General features: G+C 38.3%; 1 protein-coding gene across 5 annotated transcripts in view, besides 1 other annotated feature; it reads left to right on the forward strand.

Moving 5' to 3' along the window:
- The window catches only part of CPEB4 (cytoplasmic polyadenylation element binding protein 4), a 73,632-nt gene that overhangs the window by 10,356 nt on the left and 48,546 nt on the right, over window positions 1-14,730 (forward strand). For all 5 annotated transcript variants that reach the window (NM_030627.4, NM_001308189.2, NM_001308191.2 and 2 more), the window contains exon 2: window positions 11,819-11,900. In NM_030627.4, the coding sequence (NP_085130.2) occupies window positions 11,819-11,900 (82 nt within the window). The remainder of the gene's footprint in view (window positions 1-11,818; window positions 11,901-14,730) is intronic.
- Window positions 3,022-3,316: a silencer, noted in NCBI's record as "tiled region #4386; HepG2 Repressive non-DNase unmatched - State 15:Elon". NCBI's record gives its function as "represses a minimal TATA promoter and a strong SV40 promoter by Sharpr-MPRA in HepG2 cells {active_cell/tissue: HepG2}" and the evidence as "EXISTENCE:reporter gene assay evidence [ECO:0000049][PMID:27701403]".

The raw sequence follows: 14,730 nt of genomic DNA on the forward strand, positions 1-14,730 counted from the left end.
CTCATTCTGTTGCCCAGACTAGAGTGCAGTAGCGCGATCTTGGTTCACAGCAACCACCACCTCCTGGGTTTAAGCAATTCTCGTGCCTCAGCCTCTCCAGTAGCTGGGACTACAGGCATGTGCCACCAGGCCCATCTAATTTTTGTACCTTTTAGTTCACCATGTTGGCCAGGCTGGTCTCGAACTCTTGACCTCAGGTGATCCGCTCGCTTTGGCCTCCGGAAGTGCTGGGATTATAGGCGTGAGCCACCGCACCTGGCCTGAACTTAATTTTAAATAAATAAAATACAATTCCTAAAGTCACTATACTTAAATAATGGTGGGACTGAGGCTAGATGACACACTGATTTTCTTGAACACTGCTGAAAGTGACCAACTGGTGATATTTTTTTTCTCTCTTGGTAAAGCACCCCCTGACCCATGTCTTCTTAAATTTTTATTATGGAAAAATTTAAATATATTCCATGGTAGACAGAATAGTCTAGTGAACTCCCATGTATGTGTCACCTGGCTTCAACAATTATCAGCTCCTGGACAATCTTGTTTCATCTATACCCTTAATCCTCTCTCTCCCCATTTGTATTATTTTGAAGCAATTGCTTCATATCATATTATTTCATCTGTAAATGGTTCAGTATGTGTCTCTAGAGGAGTCTTTAAGAGAAAACATTAAAATTTTTTTCAAGTTGTTTTTTTAAAGAAGGGTAGTGAGAAACTGAAGCAAGGCCCACATTTCTGTTGTACCTGCTCAGTCTGTTTCACTGCTCAACCTGGTGCCAATAGTGGTGGACCACTGTTGGCTTCATCTTCTCTTTCTGTAACATAGAAAAATAAGAGATCCAGTTAAAGCACCCAAATACCAGCTAGTGATTCGAAATTTGGGAGGAGAGTATACCGTTTTCCTCCCTTCATCTTATCCTTTCTCTAGGTTCACACTTCTGTGGACTTGTGGGCAAGACCTCTGAAAGGAAAGATGAGTGAGAGAACAGGACAGGACTGAGCTTTTATGGTTGCTGTCTTTTTTGTTTTTCTGTTTTTTAAGAGGAATGTAGAGGTTTGGGGTCCCTTGCAGACTTTTAGACTGCATCAACTTTTTACATTTCTTGCTTGCTTTCAGTGCACAAATGTTTGATGCTTTTGAAGGGCCATGGGCTGAGGATGCTTAGCTATGGCAAACGTGATACTTCTGCTCCTGAAGTGCACTGGCCAGTGACCTCCTCTTTGTGCTTGAGTGTTGAGGAGTGCCTTCTGCCCAGGAGATTCTGGAGAACTGTGGATGGGGGTCGGGGGGTGTTGTGAGAGTCTGGAAATGTGGAGGCTGGGCACAAGCTGCCTTTTGAGATCACTGTCAAGGCTCACAGAAGAGATGTCGAGGGTTACAAGACATAAGCTTCAGTTTAGGAATAAAGGTTGTGCATTGGCCAGGTGTGGTGGCTCACGCCTGTAATCCCAGCACTGCGAGAGGCTGAGGTGGGCGGATCACCTGAGGTCGGGAGTTCGAGACCAGCCTGACCAATATGGAGAAACCCCATCTCTACTAAAAATACAAAATTAGCCTGGTGTGGTGGCGGGCGCCTGTAGTCCCAGCTATTCTGGAGGCTGAGGCAGAATAATCACTTGAACCCAGGAGGCAGAGGTTGCAGTGAGCCGAGATCGCGCCATTGCACTCCAGCCTGGACAACAACAGCGGAACTCTGTCTCAAAAAAAAAAAAAGTTGTACATTAGGGTGGACCCCTCTCCCTGCTGACGCCGGACCCTGCTCAGACCTAGCAGACATGGAGAACAGGAACTCTAACAGCCAGTTGAGGTCTAAATAACTTCATTCCTCAAGGCTGAGTGTTAGTATTGTTTACCTGCTTTCCTTGAACTAATGACTTCTTGCCCTGAATAGTTTATTAGGGAGAAGTCTTATACTGATAGTTTTGGGGTCATAGGTTTGAACATATTTTGATTATCTCTATGAAAACAGGTTATAGAAAATAGCACAGAATCACTGACTTATTCAGATACAACCGATATCTAATTTAAAATGTGAGTTTCATGCTTTTTTTCATTGCACCATAGAAGGGGCAGAGAAATGTTTATTGAATGAGTTCACTAACCGCCATGCTTTGTGCTCCTGCTGCCCATATACCTTATCTCACTGGCTTTTCACTACAGATTTATAAGGGAGGTGCTATTATCCTCGTTTTGCTGATGAAATTAAGGTTCAATGATATTGCAGCATCAAGATCACTTGCTTAGTATGTTTGATACTTAGTATCACAAGTATCAAAGCTTGTGATAGATTTTAATTATTTCTCTCTGCTAGGCAAGATTAGTATGAACAAATTGTCAAGAAGAAGAAAAGGTCTATTGATTCAGGAACTGACTGACTAATCAAGCCTAGAATGGTCATTTGGTTTTTTAATACAAATAAGTGATGACAAGAAATGTTTATCATTTTAAGGATTTATAATGCTCAAAATGAATGTGATTTATTTAGTAAAGGTGCAATAAAAAATGTTCTCAGAGGCTTTCTGGAGAGATCTTATTTGTCAATTAACATGGCAACCAAATGGAGCTGTTGATCCAAGGTAATACACTGAAGACATTCATTCATTTAGTTGTAGATCATAATTCTATTAGGGAACATGTGGTAACCTAAGATCTGTTAGACTCTACCTTCATTACAGGAGCTATAATGAAAAAGTACTGATTGAAGAGGGAACTTGCAAAGAAATATGAGATGCTGTTAAATGTGGTCCCTCCTGCTTCAGATAATTACCACTTTAACTTTAATCTCTGATGCTCGTTGTCTTCATTCAGGCCACGTATATATAGTGAAGGATTTCATACCTGGCAGGTAATAATAGAGCAAAAATTCTAGGCCCAAACAAAACTTCACTTAAACCACTTTTCCTGAACATCTGCTCTGAAGTCAGACTCGACCACTTACTGTGTGACTTTGTAGGGCAATTAGTTAACTTCTCCTAGCTTCATTTGCCTACGATGGGGAAAATAAATGACAGTACTGACTTCATATGATGGTTGTGAGGAACTAATATATGTAAATGTTATGTAATTCATGTAAGATGCACAACACAGAGCCAGGAGGAACATGTTAGCCACTTTCTATATCAGTGGCGATGGCTTTACGGCATGCTACAAGCTGTGGATATGAAAATGAGTGAAGCTCATGGCGCATGGTGATAGTATAAGCTCTGTCATACAGAGCTTATCACTATCTTGTGGGATGTCAGAGTGCTAGGGAGACATAAGGGAAAAGGGATTTGCTGCCTGTGTAGGGATGTGAGGGTCATTTGGAAGTGGAATCTTGAAAGTTGACTGGATAGTCCACTCTTGATGATCTGTGAATTTACATATTATTTAATTCAAGAGGAATATTTACATTTTGGCAAATCTTGAATTAAAACTCCCATAGTTACCTTTGATTAATTATGGGCTCTACTGGCATCTCAAAATTTCTATTTATTTTGGCAGCTGACACACTGGCGTACACTTTCCTTTCAAACCAAAATATTTTCCCTTCCCTTCTTTACCAGGGAAAGTTTAAGCCAGAAAGAGAAACTTCTGTAGCCTGGTACAGATATGTAGCAGTCTGAGAAATGATGATCACAGTAATATATGTTTTTATAGAAATAGAATGAGTCAAGGGATAGCTGAATTTTGGCTTTGGTTCTTAATAATGTGGTTACATTCAATTAATTACCTTTTGTGTTTTAGACTCAGTCTAGTAATGCCAAAACATACTAGCTCAAGTATAAAAAGAAGCAATAATAGAGTGGTGGTGGTGGTGGTGGGTAGCATGGGTTATATTTAGATGAGAACATTTAAACTCAGTACAGTTTTTGCCTGTGAGCACATAACCTAACTGTGAACACCCCAGCATCCAAGACAAAAATGTAACATGATGGGTGATGTAGATCTCATTCTCTAATGAAAATAAGCATACTTTTAAACAAGAGTGAAATATTTTTGAGAGAAATTTGCCTTGCAGGTTTCTAATCATGGGGCGTTGACAGACAATGAATTTTTCCATTGCTGACAAATTTTACAAGAAAATTCATAGATGTTTAACAAACAGCAGTTACTAATATTTTCTGCTTATTAAAATCTGAGATCATGCTGTTAAGCCATAATTCTATAAAAGCAAGTCCAAAGGGACCAGTATATACTATGTATTTTCTGATGATGTGACTTGATAAATAGGTTGAATCTGAAGGAATGAGTAATTAGCATATCCTTTGTTTAGACTGTTTATCTTGGCTTGTAGGGCATTTGACCAGTTGTGAGAGAGAGAAGACATGTCAGTAGTAAATACCTGAATGGCAGATATTCCATGTAGCTGAATGAAAAAAAAAAAAAAAAGCTATATGCTTAAGATATGGGGTATATGGATGCCAGAGATAGTATTTTATTGTGAAAATTCAAGCACCAAATTTGTATTTTGTTTGTTCTTAATGGTGAGCCACTCACCTCTTGATGCTTTTTCTTAAGGAATTTTGTTTTGGTGAAATTGAACTTTATTTTAATCTTTCCAAAGGTATGGACCTTAGAACTTGAAAGACAGAGCTGTTTCAGGTTTTGAGAGCAAAGCCCTTCTCTTCATAAGGAAATCATACAGTAGTTCCTGTAGAATATTTAAGCTGGACTGCATCATAGCTGGCCAACTAGGATAAAAGCTATAAAGCACACCCCTAAGGATCTAATGAAGTTAACCTGTTGAATGGATTTGCTTAACTCCGTGGTTCTCAAAGAGTAATCCCTGGTGTCATTTGGAAACTTGTCAGAGATGGGAATTCTTGGACACGACCCATGCTGAATGAGACTGTGGGGATGGACCCAGTAATCTGTATTTTAACAAGAACTCCAGGTGATTCTGACGTACTCTCAAGTATGAGAAACGCTGGCTTAGATCAGCCATCTGGATGTTAAAAAAAAATGGCCACAAATGATTATTTTGGTCTGTGGCATAATTACAATTTGGTTGTTTTTCCTGATAGGAACAGACCAGCAGGTTCACGTGCTGCTTGTGGCAGCTTCTGGAATGTCATGAAAAGCCTTGTCATTAGCTATATACTGATGTAGGTCTTCCCATTTTGCCCTGGCAGGCAGTATTATTCAGGTGTATACTAAAAACAAGGGTCCTCTCTGAAACATTCATTTTGTTTTGTCAGAAGCTTATTTTTATCAACTTTGATTTTCATAGTGGTATCATAAGGTCTTTCTTTTAGAAATTGTCCTGTGAAGTAGAGATGACAGAAACTGAAACTAACCAGTTACTGACATGCAACTCAGTATATTAAATATAATAATTAAGACTACAGAATATGATGAGGTTTAAGCATTGTGATAAAGTTTGCTTTGCTTAGCCTTGAAAATCATTGGTGATCTTTTATTTTCCTTCATGATTACTAAGCTCACATGTTCTAGAGTCAGAAGGTCTGGGTTCACATTCTGCCTCCACTTACCTAACATTGATGGAATTATTTAAATACTCGAAGCTTCAGTTTCTTCATCTGTGAAGTGGGATAATAACTGAACATATCTAATTGTATCAGGGTTTTGTGAAGAATAAATGAGGTTATGAATGTAACCCATAATGTTAGCTGCTGATAGTAATCCTATTAGTACTGTTACTACCACCAGTACTCCTGTGGTTAGTAGATAACCCAGAGATGCATTTATGATGGGTCTCTAATTTGTATGCCACTCTGTCATCTCAATGGGGAAAAGGAAGATAAGATTTCTCTTTCTCTTCTTATGGTTTTAGTACCTCTGATATATATCATTTGTATAGGTAAAATATAAAAGGTAATATTTGTATAAGTAAAATATAAGTAATATTTGAGTGCCTACTGTTTGCCAGGCACTAGCCAGCATATTCATACCCTCAGAACCCTTAGAGTGCCTCCTTTATTCAAATGTATGTCTTAATTAGTATGGTTCTTTGCCATGATCATTACCCTACCCAAGGAAGGATCACTTACTTGGTTTATAGTAAGACTTGGGTTTGAATCTGACTATGCCACTAAACTATGCAGTAACCAATCTGTGTAGTAAATTGTGTAAGTTTTCTTTAGTCTCAGTTTTTATTATTAAAATAGGAGTAATAGGCTGGGTACAGTAGCTCATGTCTATAGTCCCAGCTACTTGGGAGGCCGAGGCCAGAGGATCACTGGAGCCCAGGAGTTTGATGCTGTGGTGAGCTGTGATTGTGCCACTGCACTCCAACTTGGGCAACAGAGTGAGACCCTGTCTCAGATAATAATAATAATAATAATAATAATAATAATAATAATAATAATAAAAAAATGTAACTTAGAAGATTTGAGGATTAATTAAGACAGTGTTTATCAAGTACCTAGAATAATATCAGGTGCTTAGTAGATGCTCAATAAAGGGTAGGTCTGCTTTTCTAATTTCTCCCTTTAGGGTGCCAAGAGAAACTGGCAGTGGGGTTGAAAGCAAATTGAGTTGTCAGTATCTTTTGTTTTATAAGAGATTCTTTAATAATCTATCTGAAAGCAGCACACTTCACTCTTCTGTCCCCCAGCAAATTTTTTAAGTAGATTTTTTTTGAAAGAAGCTTATTTTATGTTTTATGTAGCATAATTAAAATGCCATGATTGTCTTTTTTTTTTTGAGATGGAGTCTCGCTCTAACGCCAGGCTGGAGTGCAATGGTGTGATCTCAGCTCACTGCAACCCCGCCTCCCAGGTTCAAACGATTCTCCTGCCTCAGCCTCCCAAGTAGCTGGGGTTACAGGCACCTGCCACCACGCCCAGCTAATTTTTGTATTTTTTCACCATGTTGTGGGCAGGCTGGTCTCGAACTCCTGACCTTGTGATCTGCCCACCTCGGCCTCCCAAAGTGCTGGGATTACAGGTGTGAGCCACTGTACCCAGCTGTGATTGTCCTTTTAAGACTCTAAGTGATCATTTTCTTACTAATTGATCACTGACCCTTGCCTTTTTGTGGGCAAAAGTGATGGACTTTGATTAGTGGGCAAAAGTGGTGGACTTTGATTAATAAATTCTCATCCTTATTTTTGGTTCCTGCCATAATTGTCATAATTTAAACTGTAAATCTTGAAAGAACAAGACATGTTAGGATATCAAAAAGCTAGAATACAAATGTATTTTGGAGTTAGGACAGGGACATCAGAGATCCAATCAAACCACTCCTTTTATGGACCAGAAAAGAGGTATAAAGGACGAAAGTGCCCAAGCTCATAAAATACGACAGGCAGAGTTGAAGCTTCCTAGTGTCTAATGCCCATTCCACTCATTTATGCTAATGTTCATGTTTTGGTCATTAGCTCAAGTTCAATCAAGAAGAGCATCACCTAACAAGGTTTCTATTTTACAGTTAATCTTTGGGAAATGGATTCTAGAAAATAGGTCAGTGGTTATATTTGATCCAATTAACAATTTAAAAAGGCAAAATTGAAGAATGAAATATGGAAATCAAAGCACTCTTATTCTTTTGATTTGACTCTTTCGTTGTTGCATAGGAAAACCAGCATTGTTTGTACTGTTCTTATACTTTGGGTTTGTTTATCTGTGTCCCCTTTATCTATTTCCTAATGGTACAGACACATTTTAGGATTTTTTTAAATTAGTTGTTAAAAATGGACAGAAAAGATCAGTGAGGGAGTAAATCAAGAATGGCAATCTTAAAACCTGCTCTGAGAACAGAATGTTTACTTGACAAAATATGTGGCTTTTGAACTCTTTGAATTACCAAAGCATCATAAACAAAATGTTTGTAGTAAACTATACTTGCTAATAAGTTTGGGTTGTGGGGAAGAATACATATTAGACTAGGTTTGGCAAGAATGAAGTACTTGTGTCATCGGACCTTATACCTTGCAGCAGTCTGTGGAGGCAGTTTCCTTCTGAGTCCCTGTAGAGCCTGAGAATCCTTCTCAAAACACCTTGCATCTAATAGTACCAATTGAACAAACTTTGTGTATTTGTATTTACTTGTCATCCCTGTATTAAACTGTAACAAATTATAGGAAAAAATTAGTATCATTACTAAAAATTAGTGTAAAAAGGGTGGAGAATTTCTTTTCATTTCATAAAACATTACTGAAAATTTAAAATTTAATTTAGGATTTTAGTTTTAATGTACTTTACCAGTTAGAAGTCAGCAAAAATCTTTATGTTTCCCACAATATGCTTGGGGTGCCCATGGGGCAGGGTAGTGGGAGGAAAGTGTGGAATAGTTTACTAAATTCCATTCATAATACCACATTTAAAAACCTATAGGTTGCCAGGCATGGTGGCTTACACCTGTAATCCCAGCACTTTGGGAGGCCAAGGTGGGCGGATCACAAGGTCAAGAGATCAAGACCATCCTGGCCAACATAGTGAAACCCCGTCTATACTAAAAATACAAAAATTAGTGGGGCGTGATGGCACGCACCTTTAGTCCCAGCTACTCAGGAGGCTGAGGCAGGAGAGTCGCTTGAACCCGGGAGGCGGAGGTTGCAGTGAGCCTAGATCACGCTACTGCACTCCAGCCTGGCAACAGAGCGAGACTCCGTCTCAAAACAACAACAACAACAACAACAACAACAAAACCTGTAGGTAGAAAAACAAAAACAAAAACTTACAGGTAAAAAGGAGGCTTCTTGACTTACTGGAAATAGTTCTTATAAAACAAACCAAACAAAACCAGTCTATATTTTTTATCAATTGCTTCTTTTCAGTGCTCTTGTCATTCAGTGATTGCAAAATGCATGTTCCGGAAATTCATAAGGTTGCTTACTCTGTTAGTTGCATGAAAAACAACACTAAACTTAATTCCTCCCCTCCCCCAAAAGAAAACATACAGCTCTTTAGAGGGAAAGGGGGAAATATAAAGACAAATAAATCTTAAGGAAGTAGCAGAGAATATTTTAAATGTTTAAAAATTACATGAAGGAATACATCCATTCATTGATTTAGCAAACATTTGCATGCTTTCTACCTGCCAAGACCTATGTGAGGCAGAGTAATACAGAAATACAGGACAGTGCTTCTTAACCAGTTTTACATCATGACACACATAGAAAATGATAATTTTTAAACGGAGATCATCTGCCAGGAAGCTCCTGCCACCTCAGGCTCTTTTGGACAGTCTTGTGGGCTTAGGACATGACTGACTTGGCGCACCATCACCCTGTTGTGGTAGGCATACTGGAAATATTTGATGTGAGACATAGTTCCTGCTCTTGGGAAGCTCACAGTCAGAGGACACAGCCAAGTGAACAGACACCAGGAATTATTGCCTCCAAGACTGGTTTGTGTTGGAGATGGAAATGGATGGCCCTTTTAAAGGTGTGGTTCATTGCTGAAATAGAACATATCCAGCAACTATAGAATGAGATAGTGTAATTTTATATTAACTTCTAAACCTCAAATAATGCCTCAAGTCTACTTGGCTTCTGAAAGAATATGCAGGTTTTGACTTAATTTAGTGCTTGAAATGAGGAAGTGTAAACACAGAACAGCTTCTCTCTTTTGGGAATACTAAACCTTAGTCTGATCCTGGCCATGTATACTCCTGCCTCTCTATAGATAGATCTTGTTCAGGAGATGAGGATAATGAGGAAAGAATCCGGTGGAAGAGGTGGGGCAAAGATGTTCTGGAGGGAGTCATACCAGTTTAGAGCAGGATAGAATGGTAAGGCACGTGTTCACTCTTCCCCATCCTCATCCTCACCCTAACCTTCCCACCCCTGGGGGAAAACTTGAAATACTGTCTCTTACCTGTAATATTAGATTCTACCTAAATATACTGTCCCTGGACTCCTCAAGTTGCAGTGGTATTATAAAACCACTCAGCGCACATTACTGAATATCTGCATGATGAGATGGGGTCAGGAGGAGTGGTCCCTATTTCAGGGAAGCAGAAGAATCATGTGGGGTAAGATGTGTTACAAAAGCACAGAAGAGAAATGTTAGGTCCATCCAAAAAAAATAAAAAATAAAAATGCTCTCAAGTGGAGGACATCCTCTGTCAGCTTAGATGTTCTAGAAGTTAGCTAGGAAAGTAGAAAAATGAAGGGGATACAATTAGGAGGTGATGTTTTAAAAAATAAAGTCAAAGCTTTGAATTTAAATTGTAATGTAAAAGGAAATATAATTGAATAGAAGTTTTAGAATTCTGCTTGCAGATTCCTTTGGGATCCCCTTTTTCTTTAATATTCTTGCAGTGGCCTTTGTGTGTTTATGTACAGTATCCTTAAGGTGGGTCAGAGCATGTATTATTGCTTTGTCTCAGTTTAATTTTAAAATGTTTTCATCTCCTACTTTCAATGTATCAAGCTAAACCTTAATTTTAGTTGTCTCTAGTACTCTTCATCCTGAGGAATGTCAGAGCACTTGGGATGTTGTATATTTTAGGATTCCATACCCACTCTTGAAACGCACTTGGTTAAGCTAGGGGTTTAGGTCAGCAATGTACCCCACACTCTTCCTTCCCTTTAATTTTAATGCAACAAAATCAAGCCTAATTTTGCAAGTTGAGAGTAAATAAGAATTGAGATTTTGTTTTGTTTTGTTTTGTTTTGCTTTCTCATCTAAATTCTAACTCTTATTCTAACTCTGATCCTTTTATTCTTTATTTACCAGAAGTAATGACTGGGTTGTTTGGGGACCTAATAACACGTTGCATTGGGGGCAGGGAGGGACAGAACATGCTTCAGCAGTTCTCTATTGCTATTCTCATCCTTCTCCTTAGAGAAAGCCTCGTGACAGTAATGAGAGCAGCTTCTGTGCTTCATTATTCCAGATTTATTTTTATGTTGGGGGAAGGGAGAGTCTACGAAATTTTTTTTTTTTACATGATTTTTGGAAGGAAGGAGATTTTTTTTCAACTTTCTATATAGATTATTAGTTTTAAAAACAAATCTTCAGAGAAGGCAAATCATTAACAGTCAAGAACAACTTTGATAATATATAGAGATGAATAAATCAGTATTTTTATTTTCTTAAAATAAGTATATAATTTATCTTGGCTGGATCTGGTGGCTCATGCCTGTAATCCCAGCACTTTGGGAGGCTAGGCAGGTGGATCCTTTGAGGTCGGGAGTTCAAGACCAGCCTGGCCAACATGGTGAAACCCCATCTCTACTAAAAATACAGAAAATTAGCCGGGTTTGGTGGCGGGTGCCTGTAATCCCAGCTACTCTGGAGGCTGAGGCACAAGAATTATTTGAACCCGGGAGGCAGAGGTTGTAGTGAGCTGAGATCGCACCACTGTACTCCAGCCTGGAACAGTGTGAGACTGTGTCTCAAAAAAAAAAAAAGATTTCTCTCATTTTTTTTTTTGTATGCTTTACCATTTAATAGTCTTACAATCATTCGATGACTATTTTTAAACTTTGCCTTATAAGAAAATATAGCTATTTTGAACAGCACATACAGGTACCAGTCTAGCAGATAACTAGTGGGACAAGTTTGGAAAGCTTTGCCACGTTTTTGCAATCTTAAGTGATGGGAAAGAATTTTTTTTTTTTACACTTATGTAATGTTCTTAACTAATACAGAAATTCGTTTTAATGGTTTTGGCTTTCTGAATAAATGTGATGCTTTTGTTGAAATTATTGTTAGAAGTCAAATCACTCTTTGCTGAGCCCTGTGTACTTACTTTTGTGGTTTTTGATGTTTGGTGTTAATAATAACATTTAGTAATAATGTGCCTTACATAGAGAGTAAAATTGCTACTTTGTGATCTGTGTCCCATCTAATGAAACTTACTGTCCTCTTTTATATTTAAATGCTATTTTAAAAAGTGGTTTGTGGCTGTTTGTGTCTACAGGATCGCCCCAGGACATTCGACATGCACTCACTGGAGAGTTCACTCATTGACATAATGAGAGCTGAAAATGATACCATTAAAGGTAAGTTTAGAAATATACCCAATTGATTTCAGACAATAGTTTTAAATGTGTATTAACTATTTAATCTGATACACAGTATGGCAAATATTATGGAGTCACTTTGTATGCAGTAAGTTCTATCAATTTTACACATATACCTCTTGTTGTTAAAAAATCCAACATACTTGATGAACCTCTATAGTGGAGCCATCGTGATACCAGGTAAGAGTACTACGTGAGTACTAATTGCCAAGAATGGGCAATTATCTCAAAGACACCAACTACATACCTTATTATTATTTTTTTTATATCTCAGGCAATAACTTCTCAGTGTCTTAGTTGTTTATGTCTACCTACTTATGACAGTGATTATGTCCCAGGAACAGTTCACATGTTGGTAGAATTTTTGCCTACTTTCATGTTTTAAAAAATAACCAATAGTTTCAAAGTTAAAATGAAGTTCTGTAGTTCTCAGAATTTTTTTCTATGTATTATGTTAAAAAAAAATACTGTTTCTACATGGATTCTAGTCTCATGTTACTGACAAGTTGTGTTATCTTGAATAAGACATTCTGTTTGACTAGGCCTCAATTTCTTCACCTTTATAAAGACGTAGAATTACCCGGGTGCTTTAAAAATAAAATGTAGATGTCTGGACCCCATTCCATACATGGGGTGCGGGCTTGCATGTTTTTATTTTTTTTTGAGACGGAGTCTTGCCCTGTCGCCAGGCTGGAGTGCAGTGGCGTGATCACTGCAAGCTCCGCCTCCCAGGCTCACGCCATTCTCCTGCCTCAGCCTCCCGAGTAGCTGGGACTACAGGCGCCCACTACCACGCCCGGCTCATTTTTTGTATTTTTAGTAGAGACGGGGTTTCACCGTGTTAGCCAGGATGGTCTCGATCTCCTGACCTAATGATCTGCCCGCCTCGGCCTCCCAAAGTTATTTTTTAATATCTCAGGTGATGCTAACATGTAGCCAAGAATGAAAATTGCAAGACTAGATATTTCCTAAGGGCCTTTCCTCTGATTTTGGGAAAAGTATCTCACAAAATAAAACATTTTTCTGGATAAAAATATCAGTTTATTAGAAAGCAGGTTTTTTTTTTTTTTTTTTTTTTTAAGAAACTTAGAATGTTTGGTATATTTGGTCATCCCACTTAAGCTGTTGGCTCCTTCATTCATTCATTCATTCATTCATTCATTCAGTGATTCAATGTTTATGACACTGCTTTGTGCCAGACATAGAGCTTTGCACTGAGGTCAAAGGTGACAAGGCAGCCTGTTGTTTCAACTGGTGACCTGCTTAGCCTAGTTTCCCTTTGAGTTTGGCTTATCATGTTACTGATGCAGAAAAACATTTTATGTATTTTTCAGTAGACCAATAGTGATAATATTGTTTTAATGAAGAAAGCTTTTAGGTTTCTGGAGAGAGGGAAGAAAAATAATGTGTAAAAAATAGGCATCCATCTGATGTGATACCTTTGAAATAAGAATATTTGGAAGGTCTTTACTGAGTTTCTCATGGAATTCTGGTGGATGACTTTAGTGTAGATGCATGCTATATAGCTGTGGAAAGATGATCTCCCACTCAGAATTGGCTTTATTTTTGCTACTTTTTAGCACTCTGACTTTGGGTAGTCTTCAGCCTCTTGGACCCTTTGTTTTCTCTTCAGAAAAATGAAGAGTCTAAGGTGCTATTTCTAGCACCAGAAAAATTGTACACTCTTAAAAAATAGCTAAAGGAAAAATATGAATAAGGTCTGTGGGTTGTACCAATGTCAATTTCCTGGTTTTGTATTATAGTTATGTAAAATGTTGCCATTTGAGAACACTGGATAAAGGGTACATGAGGCTTTCTCTGTACTACTTTTGCAACTTGCTGTGAATCTATAATTAGCACTTTGGGAGGTAAAGGAGGGAGAATCACTTGAGCCCAGGAGTTTGAGACCAGCCTGGGCAACATGGCAAGACCCTGTCTCTATATAATAAAGTAATTTGAAAAAGAAAAAAACACAGACCCTGTCTTTATATAATAAAATAATTTTTTTTTTTTTTTTAAAAAGTTAAGGTCTGGTGCGGTGGCTCACGCTTATAATCCCAGCACTTTGGGAGGCTGAGGTAGAGGATGGCTGGAGCCCAGGAGTTCAAGACCAGTCTGGGCAAGATGGTGAGACCTGGTCTCTACAAACATTTAAAAAAAAAAAAAATTAGCCAGGCATAGCAACCCACACCTATGTTCCCAGTTACATGGGACGCTGAGGCAGGAAGATCACTTGGGCCCAGAAGGTTGAGGCTGCAGTGAGCTGTGTTCCTGCTCTTTAAGACCCTGTCTCAAAAAAAAAAAAAAAAAAAAGTATGGAAAAAGTAGTTAAAGAACATTTGTATATTCTTAATGTGTTTAATTCTTTCAGCACATTTTAAAAGAGCTTCCCATACACTAGGTACTACAGATAATAAGTAATTAGAAATCATTTTCTAAGTGCCTATGGTTTTTATCACAGAAAATATAGGTTACAAACAGCAGTGGATAGAAACAACTTGTTATGTGACATTTTAAGAAGCAAGCCTCTAACTAATACTTAGGTTAGATAAAAGAGTTGGCACACATTATTCTTTTTTTTTTTTTTTTGAGACAAGAGTCTTGCTCTGTTGCACAGGCTGGAGTGCAGTGGCACGATCTCAGCTCACTGCAACCTTTGCCTCCTGGGTTCAAGCAATTCTCCTGTCTCAGCCTCCCAAGCAGCTGGGACTACAGGCGCCTGCCACCACGCCTGGCTAATTTTTGTATTTTTAGTAGAGATGGGGTTTCACCTTGTTGGTTGGGCTGGTCTTGAACTCCTAGCTTCAGG

The sequence above is a fragment of the Homo sapiens genome, chromosome 5, assembly GCF_000001405.40.
Source record: "Homo sapiens chromosome 5, GRCh38.p14 Primary Assembly".
Taxonomy (NCBI): domain Eukaryota; kingdom Metazoa; phylum Chordata; class Mammalia; order Primates; family Hominidae; genus Homo; species Homo sapiens.